The sequence below is a fragment of the Homo sapiens genome, chromosome 1, assembly GCF_000001405.40.
Source record: "Homo sapiens chromosome 1, GRCh38.p14 Primary Assembly".
Classification (NCBI taxonomy): Eukaryota; Metazoa; Chordata; class Mammalia; order Primates; family Hominidae; genus Homo; species Homo sapiens.
Genome location: NC_000001.11, coordinates 84,694,811 through 84,705,838, shown reverse-complemented (window position 1 = coordinate 84,705,838; position 11,028 = coordinate 84,694,811).

Sequence of the window (11,028 nt, the reverse complement as noted above, 5' to 3'; positions counted from 1 at the left end):
GGACAGCAGTTTGGAAGTGACAGTGAGGAGTAGGGAAGACATCTGCATCACCTCTGGAACAGTGGGAAGTGACAGGTGAGAGAAAACTGGCCACCACTGCAGGGAATTCCGAGTGCTCAGGGGAAAGTTTCCTTTCGAGCTGCAAGGTGAAGGGACTGTTCAGAGAGGAGTGTGGTTGGAGGGGTTTTTCTGATGACAGCGGGGAATAGAGATTTGAGTGATGAAATTTGACCTGGGAGGCTTAGATATCTTAAGGTCACTGAGCTAGATATTTAAGACAAGACTGGGTGCCTTGGTGACTGCTTAAAGGGAGAGGGCAATTAATTCTGATTATTCTTGGCATGTGACTCTTAGGCAATTCTTAGATAAGGAGAGAACAGGAATTAAATTCATTGGAATCCAATTGATCCAAAAATGCTGTTCATCCTTCTTCCTTAACAACCAGAGTTGGCCCCCCTTCCAATCCACACCGATTCTGTCTTGATTTAAGTCCTCATTAGTTCTTCCTTGGACAATTACAATTGCCTCCTAACTGGTATCTTTCACTGATCTCGCCTCTCTCCAATCCATTCTTCACATTTCTGCCAGAGTGTTCCTTGTAAATCATTAATTTCATCAGGCAGATCCTCTGCTCTAAATCTACTAATGGCTTTCCTAATGCTTCAGGATCAGATCCAAATTCCTTAGCATGGTAAGGCCCCTCCTGGAGAGGACTCTCTCACTGCCTTCCGCCTCATGGGTCCTACTCCCCAACAGTCTCATGCTGTTCTCTTTGTCTGCAATGCTCAGCTTCCTCTTTTTCACTTGAGTACCTTGCATACATCTTTTAAGAAATAATTCAAGTCCCTGAAAGAATAAACAAGAAACAGACACTCCTGGTTGTTCCTGAGAAGAGAAACTGGGTGGCTTGGTGAGGAGTAGAAGAGAAGCTTCTCACAGCATGTCCTTTTGTACATTTTGAATTTTATACTCTATGAATATATTACTTCATTTTTTTAAGCAATGGAATTGAAAAAAAATTTAAGCATTAAATAGACCCCTAGAAAGAAAGAGTCAAGTGTTTCCTCCTCTGTAAGTCTTCTCTACCTTGATGCTCATCTCCACTGAGCTACCATCATGCCCTCCACACAGCTCGGTGGCAGCGTTTATCACTTTATATTGTTAAGTATCTGCAAACAAGCAAGCAGTCCTACCATCCTCACAGCCCAGAGGCTCCTTGAGGGAAGAGACTTTGTCTAACTCAATTTGGAATCTCCAGCCCCTTGCACGGTGCCAGTACAGAGGAAGGGCTCATAGAGATTTGTTGAATTCGTGAACAAATAGAGTTTCTGTGCAGAAGGGAAGCAAAATAAATGTAAGTATTCACATTTATTTCACAGAAAAAGAAAATGAAGCCCAGAGTTATTTACTAATGATTTCACAACTAGTTAGCAGCATTAAATGAGAACCCAAACTTTCCAGAGTCCAACTTTTGTACTAGGGTAAGTTATAAGATGGTCACTCTAAGATAGCAGACATGATGCCTATTATATCTACTTATTTTGTTCCAGGGCTCTGGATTGTCAGGAAATTTCCAATTCCAGTAAACTGCCAGTTTAACCTCCAAGGAACAATTTCATGTATCAGGTCTTGGGTCCTAAACTGGAGTTAGGAAAACATATATCTCCAATAGCTTACAGGCCAGGCATATACTGACAGGGAATTCACATGGAAATCTTGTGGCACTTTTCTTTATCTTAAAGGCTATGTTTGTGTTATTGTGTTCCTGAAACTCACAATGTGGCAGACATAGCTATACACAGTGACTGAAGAGATAAAAGGATAGCACAGGAAAAAGTGATTGCCACAGCTCAAAGCCCAGTTCTCATTTGTAAGCATTTGGCTGAATTCCTTGGGCATTCAAAGCAGAAACCAATAGCATTTTATTTCACATGGGATCTATGTTTTTCTATGTAAAATGTTTGTGTTAATAATTATCTGGACTAGATTTTAAGCATCCTGTGGAGATCTTCTGTGGTCTTCAAGATCAGTGGTCTTCAAACATTTTTGCCCACATGCTGCTCTGCGAAACCTTGGAAAACCTTGCATCCCTTCCACATCTTTTATTGCCACCTACAGTATAATTTTTCATCACAAGTTTGCAAAGGGTGTTATTTCCAGCATATTGCAATTCATGATATTTTAAAATAAAGCTGTTAGCTCACTCTTTTAAATTTACCCTGAAGAATCTAAATCCCACGGTGATTTGTTACTCAACATTATTCATTTTAAATATACATGAACCAGTTCTTCTTTCACAGTCAGAAAATTTGCATTGTTCCCTTTTCTTCTTGAACTCATATTTTCACTGCATTTTCCCCACAGAATGTTATCATGTTGATATTTTCATGCTTGAAAAATTTTTATTGATCAGTATGTCATTCTTTACAACAGACATTATAACTACATATTTATATAATTTTACTTTCTTGTGACTCTAAAGATTGAGGTGTTAAAAGTATCTCTGGGTGGAGTTATCCTTATAATTATTAGTAATATACAATTGATCAAACAGTAACTATATTATAAATTAACAAGTATATTTAACAAAAAATAAAAGTGTATGCATTGATTATATGGAAGGAACTTTTTCTTTTCCAAGGTAGTGATGGATGAATATTATTTATAGCTAGAAGGAAACAAAGCTCCTCCCCAATTGTATTCATGTGTTTGACTCTGTCTTTGTAGATATAAATGCTAAGGTACTTTGTTCACAGAAATTGAGTAGATGGGAATGGGAGAACTTGTTGTAGCAGTGTTACTCAATTCTGTGAATTCCTTTCAATTATATGCCAAATATCATGCAATGATAGATTATTTACATTATTTCTAATGCTCTATCAGGTGGCAATTTTGCTCCCCAGTCATCACAGGCGTTCTCTTTCTCAATGCCCGCACAGGCTTCTACTTTGCCATATTGTGTGCACCTGGGACAATACACTCTAGTAAGATGTGGGATCTGTGAGAAGAATGACTTTTTGCCAAGTGGGAAATGGCCATTGTGAAAGGGGAATGGAATGGAGACCACATGCACATTCTCAGGCAGATCGGTTTTAGGAAAGCGTAGAAAAGGATCAAGGACATGGAATTGATTCTCTTGAAACTATCCTGCTCTGCACCACTGGAGGAGAGTCTTCATGTATCTTGGGGGAGGGGCTGGGGGTTGGGAGCTGCGGGGAAGTGCAGGTTTATCCCAGTTTGAAGATGTCCGTTTCTTAATCATCATCTTTTGAATAAAAATGACAGAGAGCAAAAGAGATTAAGCAGTCCTAAACAGATTGGTAATGACATGGTGGCTAAAAGGAGAACTCGGTAAATCCTAGCTCTGAAATTAACTAACTATATATATAATCTTGTGCAAATTATTTAACCTCTCCCTGTTAAATTCCTCATCTGGAAATGAAAGCAATAATGATACCTAAGAAGGTTGTTGTGAGGATTAAATGAGCTAATATGTAAAGTACTTAGAGCAGTGCTTGACAATTAGTAATCATGCAATAAATCATCACATTAGTACAAGGAAATGATTATATATGACATAAAAATTAGGACAATAACCCCCACATAAGTTTGATATGTACTTTGCTATTACCTAAGCTAACTGCTTTAATTTGTAAACTAAACAAAAAGGTATAAGTTTCCACCATAAGTATGTGGCAGAGCCAATATTCTTACCCAGAGTTTCCACTGTTAAGGACTATGTTATCCTGCCTCTTGAAAAATAAATGAAACAAAAATAAATGATATAAGAGGTGTATAAGTTGTAAAATTTTTCTTTCTAGATCAAAGTAGCATATGTTAAGCAAAATTTATAGTATGCTTATTTCCAAAGTAGCAAAAGTGTTCACTGTGTTCTTTCCTTACCTTTTATAACCACAGAAATTTCCATTATTTCATTTCAGATACTTCTCCCCAACCCCCACCCCCCCCCACACACACACTTACTACTAAATATATCATCCAACTTTTGGTGCTTAGAGGTTCAGGGGTTTTGCCTTGCAGCTTTTACTGGGGCTTCAAGCAGATCATGTTCAACAGTTTTATTACATGAAAATTAGAGGTCCTTTTCCCAATATTATTTTATTTTTTCTAGCATTTCTAGCTGTCCCCCTCCCTACCTCATTCTAAATCTGGGTTTTATGTTCGATAGCATATACAGTAAGCTGAAAAACACAACAAAGAGCTTAAAAACCCGCATCTGAATAACATCGACTTCAGGAACAGCTGCTAAGATAAAATAAATCCAAGAGAGCCCAGCAAGCAAGACGTGATTTCGTTTCTTAAAGGGACAGGCAGACTTATATAAGATTTAAGTCTTAAACTGTTATTTAAAAACATAGTATATTTTAATTGACATCAAAGATTTTCAAATCTAAAATTTTATGTGGGTGTTTTACTCAGTACATAGAGGATTCTATTTCACTATATTTCAATTTGAGCAATTACTTGATGACATTATTGATAAAGGTTTACAAAGCAGAAAGTGTAATCCATCAGGAATCAAGCCTTCAGATTTCTTCTTCACTGAGAATGAAGAAAAAGAAACTTTGCCTAGTGAAATACAAATAATGAAAGCAAATGGAAATTTATAAACAAGATAAAAATTAAATTGAGAATTACAGATTAAAAACATATGAACTGTTTGCAACATCTTAGCCTTCTGTAGTGTGATTCGCATTACAGAAAACTCTATATTAAAATAATTGCACAAAAGTCTGATTTTAAATAATAGGTAAGGAAAGAAAGGAAATCCAGCATATTAAAATATGATCTTATAGAATAGATAAATGATAAAGAGACTATGTGTTCTACAAAGGTGTTATTCATCATGCAAAAAGACTTACCATAGTTTTCTTTTAAACATCTAGCTTCGCTAGTACATTTAGAATATGATTTGATTTATAAGTGCATTATTTACACACGACTTTTCCTGGAAAATATCTATTACATAAAGCAAGTACTAGCAAGAAAACATAGTGCTGTGGCCTGAAAAGTTCAGAAAGGAAAAAATCATTTTGTGAAAAGTTGTATTTATCAATATATTTTAATTTGTCTGGCCTAATTAGCAAAGAAAAAAGATATGATTCAGAAAAATGTTCATATCTTAGATATATGCTGATAATATAAAGTATAAAGAGCCCCACATATTTCCTGTTTCTTATTTAATTTTTCCATTCATGCAGTGCTCTGTAACAACTTGTATACTTCATTTCCCACCGACTTTTTTTGCTCACTTGACTGTTTCCATCTGTGACACTTAAGCATATTTGTACCAATGAAATGAAATATCATAGCCTCAGGTCCCTTCATGAATGTCCTTTTTTCAGTGTACTATCAGGGATGCTTTTGGCTGCAAGTACAGACAACCTAGTAGCATTTTAGAACTCAAAGCATTTATTGTTTACTAAACAGAATGCCCAGAGGAAGGTGGCCCCATGTTGGTTCGGGAGCTCAGTGCTATCAACATGGACCCAGGTGGCTGAGCTGATTTGTCTAGGCAGTCTGACTTATGTGCACATGGCACACTCTACTTCTTCTCTGCAATACTTACAGTTTCACTACTCTGTCCTAGGAGACTGAGTTCCTGTTTTGGGCAGAGATCTTTTCTTTCCTTATATTTCCCAGTGCTTGACACATAGTTAATCAATAAATATTTATTAAACCAGTGAGATCAATTTTAAACAGGAAGAGGGAAACTAGAACTATGTGAAATAAAAAGGTGCTTAGGTACAGAAGTAAATCAATTAAGATTATTCAAATTAATGCTGGATCTCTGTGTTCTGTAGTTTTTAAAGAGACTTCAGTATAACTGGAAGACATTTTGGGTCAATTATAGTCCCCCATTTTTTTTAGAGCAAACTTTGTTGGCTGAATAAGACTCTGGGTTTAAATTTGCAACTTTAGAAAAGTAGACTGAGCTAAATTGCTCTGTGTGAGAAAGGTTTAGAGGCTGACTCTGGAGTCAGCAAGGTTAGCTCTCTCTCTCTCTCTCTCTCTCTCTGTGTGTGTGTGTGTGTGTGTGTGTGTGTGTGTGTGTGTGTGTGTGTGTGTGCTGGAAAGGAAGAGGAATTGATCAAACACAAAATAGTTGGAGGAGAGACCCGAGAAGTGGTATGTTTGCTGGTGATTTTTTAAAAAGTGAAATGTTATAGGCTGTGTGATGAGACCCACAAGTTTTCAGTAAATCTATGAAAGTTATATGATACTTGGTATTGTTGGATACTGATGAAGATGAGTTTATGTCAAGAACTTGGGTTAACACGGTTGAAATGTTATATCAGAATTTTGGACAGTCCACCTAAATCCTTAAAACAATTACCTATCATGTGTGCGTGCATGTGTGTGTGTGTGTGCACCCATGCTTTGCATATGTGCACACTGCATTTACTAAAGGTGATATATTTCTCTCTTGGAAATACAGTTTGAAAACTACTCTCTTTGGTACCCTGACCACCTTTCTATGATGATACCTTATCAACTGTTTAATGTATGCATCATCAAATTTCACATGTCATATTTAAAACTAATAAATCACTTTTGGGACATTTGGAGAGTTGGGAACTAATGTGTTAGCTCTTGATAAAATTCATCAGGTGTTCTTACTCAAAAAGAGTCCTTTTAGAAGAAATCATGGGGCAAAACACTCAGCAGATCAGTCAAAAAACTCAAGTACTAAGAATGTAACACCCAGGAGAATGGAACACCCAGGCATTTGTCTGCTGATCTGTGTGTTTGTGTATGACAGGGTTGGGTGGTAGTGGGGTGGGGAAATGGCAGGATGGAGGAGGGAGAGTTTCCTTTTCTGGAGATTTTCACCTGGCTGGAGGTGGGAGGAAGAGTGAACAGCAGTGGTCTGTTTTTCCTGCAAACTCAGTCAGCACTTTGTAAGTGGCACATACTGTCATTTCAACTACTACTACTACTGGCCCAAATCCAAAGGGATTAGCTAGAAATGAATCATCTTTGGAAATGCAGCATGATGCAGAAATTCACTAAGATAGTCAGAGGAGTCAATCCCAGCTAAGTTTAAGGCCATGTTTTAGAAGTCAGAAAGCAGAGCTGGCAGTCTGGTCTCGAAGCTTTTTTAACTCACAGAACTATTGTGAAGCTTGCAGAGTCAAGATTGCCCCAAGGCCCTTGTCTAGATTTTTCTCTTCCATGGAGTACTCCCTGATAATTCTAGCCCACTGAGAAGACTCTGAAGTCTATTGGCCCTTGGACTCTGCCCCATACTGTTTTGCAGTAAATTATAAACAGCCTAAAGTTGGTCTTGCTAATAAAATGAAGCCATGGATATGAAAGTGCCTAGCACAGTATTCAGAAAGACTTTGTTTATTCATTCTGTTATTTCTGGAAAAGTAGTCCTGGCCAGAACACAGAATTAATAAAAGTGGGGCCGTTAAGCAGAGGTGACTCAGCCCATATTCTCATCTGTTACAGCATAAGGCCCTAACAGGAAATGTTCTCTACCAGATCCAGAAATTGTTGCTCCTATTGAAATAACCCAGATGGTATGCATTACAGAAGAAAGCCTTTATAAGTTGGCCCATTATTATCCAAATGTGAATATGCATGTTAGTAGAAGCACTGTGGCCTGAATGCTGGCTGGGGTACTTGAAACACTTGTTCCTGAGGAAAACATATGAGTAGAATAAAGTGTGGGTCATTAGCTTAATGCATATTAAAATCAGAGCCTATTTATTACAGCAAAATTAAAATATTTTAAGATCACTATAATACATGCTTATAAAAATTCATATAACAAGTTAATAAAAGGTAAGACAAATGTTCCTTTGCTCCTTTCTGCCTTCCTCCCAATCTCATTATTATTATTACTGTTGTTGTTATTTTGATACAGGGCCTTGCTCTGTTGCCCAGGCTGGAATGCAGTGCACAATCATAGGTCACTGTAGCCTCAAACTCCTGGGCTCAAGCAATCCTCCTGCCTCAGCCTTTCAAAGTGCTTGGATTACAGGCATCAGCTGTCACGCCCAGCCTTTTTAATATTTACCTGTGTAGTTATCTTTACCTGTGTTCTTTAGTTCTTTGCATGGGTTCAAGTTACTGCTTAGAGTCCTTTCATTTCAGCCTGATTGACTCCCATTAGAAGCTCTTGTAGGGCAGGTCTGTTACCAACAAATTCTGTTTTTGTTTATCTGGGGATGTGTTAATATCTCCTTTGTTCTTGAGGTATGGTTTTGCTAGAAGGTCTTGGTTAACTTTTCTTTTTTTTCAGCATTTTGGATATGTCATTCCACAGGCTCTGGCCTCCGTGGTTTCCGATGAGGTGTCAGCTCTTCATCTTTTTGGCCCTCAATCTCATCATTATCTCAGGCACTGAAGAGCTGGGGCTACAGAGGCAAACATGACCAACAAGGACCCTCCCTTCAGAGGGCTTATGTTTTAGTTGAAGGGGAAAGATCACAGCAAGGAAACAAATAAAACATAAATAAAACCAAGCCTCAGAAGGTTTCTTTATATATGGAGGTGGGATCTGAATGATTAAAAAAAAGAATCAGTCTTGAATCTTTATGGGAAGAGCCTTCTAGGCAGACTGAATGGCAAGTACAAAGAGCCAAGGGAACTGAAAAGGCTGCCTCTATGGTTGGCACTTTGTGGCCAAAGTGCGAGTTCTGAAAGGAGGATGGGGAACAGGGGCCAGATCATGCCAGGGAGGGCTAGGTGGGAAGTTACTAAATACAATGAGAGGCCATTGAAGGTTCTTAAATAGGGAAGGGGAATCAGAATTTGATTTTCACTTTTGAAAGATGCCTCTAATGTAATGGGGGCAAAAATGAAAGTCTTCAGACAGGTTGGAAGAAATTCATTCACACATACACACAGACATATAGAAATAAATATTTCTATTTTAAAAACAAAAATGGTAACATATAGTACTTATTCTGCAACTAGTTATTGGTGTACATTTTTAGAACTCCTCTTTGAAATTATGCTCAGAGTTGGTTTACTGCCTCCTAGAAAAATCAAACACATTATGTTTTTTTACCTTTCCTTACCCACTCAAATGCAGTAACTTAGCAGGAAAACAGGTTTGGGATTTTAACATTTTGCTCCAGAATGTGTTCATCAGATTTGGCTCTTGCATGACTTTTGGATTGTCCCAGAAATCAGATTTATTTTTTAAAAATAATTATTTTCTTTCTTTTTTTTTTAACCTTGCAACTCCAGCTCAAAGGAAAGCATTATTTTCAACAAATTCAGTAAATAATGATGTGATACCTTTTGAATATGTATACATGGGAATATGTATACAGCCTAATAAAGTGCTTACTTTGAAATGAAAAACATTTATTTGAATTTATAAATTTAGTCACCAAATAATTATTGAGTACCAACCACAAAGCATCAGGCACTGTTTCAGGCACTGGGGATACATTAATGAACCAAGTAGAGGAAATTTATTTTCCTGCTGAGTTTATATTCTAGTGGAGGGAGACAGACCAAATGAACAATCAAAATAAGTAAAGGATCTATCATGGTTTAAGATTGTATAGGAGCAAAGTACGAGAAATTTGGAAAGCTGGAAGGGAGTTCCGATTTTAAACAATGTTGTCAGGTTGGCCCTTACCAAGATGGTGACATTTGAGCAGACTCTAAAGGGAGGACGTAAGTAACAAAGATGCTAAGGGGATGAACATTCAAACAGAGGTCCTGAAGCAGGAATGTGCTTGGCAAAGTTGAGGAACAGTGAGGTGGCTAGTGGTTGGTTGAGTGCTTAGTTGAATGGTTGACAGATTGTAGGACATGGAGTCAGAGAGGTAAGGTGGTGAAGGTGAGGTTGTAAGAGCCTTGCAGCCATGGTTAGCACTTTAGCTTTAACATTGAGTTAGGGGAGCCAAAGAAGAGAAGTGACAGGATCTCACATTTTAGGGGAATTACTCTGCCTACTGTGATATAAATAGACTACAGAGGAGCAAGGGTGGAAGTTTTGATAAGTTTTGGAAAACAACAACAGCAGCATTTCATAGTCACATCCCTTTAATTTTGCTAAAAAAAAGTGGAAAGCAAACTAAGCATTTTTAAAATAAAATTTTCATATCTTATCTTTCCTTTCTGATATAGTTCAGATATGTGTCCCTGCCCAAATATTGTGTTGAATTGTAATTCCCAGTATTGGAGGTGGGGCCTGGTGGGAGGTGATTGGATCATGGGGGTGGTTTCTCATGAATGGTTTAATATCATCCCCTTGGGGCTGTCCTCCATGAGAATAGTGACTCCTCATGAGATCTGGCTGCTTAAAAGTGTGTGGCACCTCGCTATCTTTCTTTCTTGCTTCTATTTTCGCCGTATGAGGTGCCTGCTCCCACTTCACCTACTGCCATGACTGGAGATTTCTGAGGCCTCCCTAGAAGCAGATGCCAGTGTCATGCTTCCTGCACAGCCTGCAGAACCGGGAGTCAATTCAACCGCTTTTCTTCATAAACTACCCAGTCTTTACAGCAATGCAAGAATGGCCTAATACACTTACCATAGTAAAGTTCTATCAAGCCCAATTTCTTTTAGCCCTGGGCTAAAAATGTTCTTAGGCTTAAGCCTACAATGGCTTAAGCAATAGGCCATTTACTGTCTCACATGATATGCAGTGTAGAGATATACAGAGCCAAGGTAGGCTAATGTAGCCACTCAGTAACATCTGGGCTTGGGGTTGCCTTTTCTGTACAGGCACACCTTAGAGGTAGTGCAGGTTCGGTTCCAGACCACAGCAATGAAGCAAATATCACAATAAAGGATGTCACATAGTATTTTGGCTTCCCGGTCCATATAAAAGTTATTTTATACTATACTATTGTCTATTAGTATGCAATAGCATTATGTCTTTAAAAACAAGGTACATATTTTAATTGAAAAATACTTCATTGCTAAAAAATGCTAACAATCTAAAAAAATCTTGAAGCCTTCAGCAAGTTATAATCTTTTTGCTAGTGGAGGGTCTTGCCTTGATGTTGATGGCTGCTGACTGATCAGGAT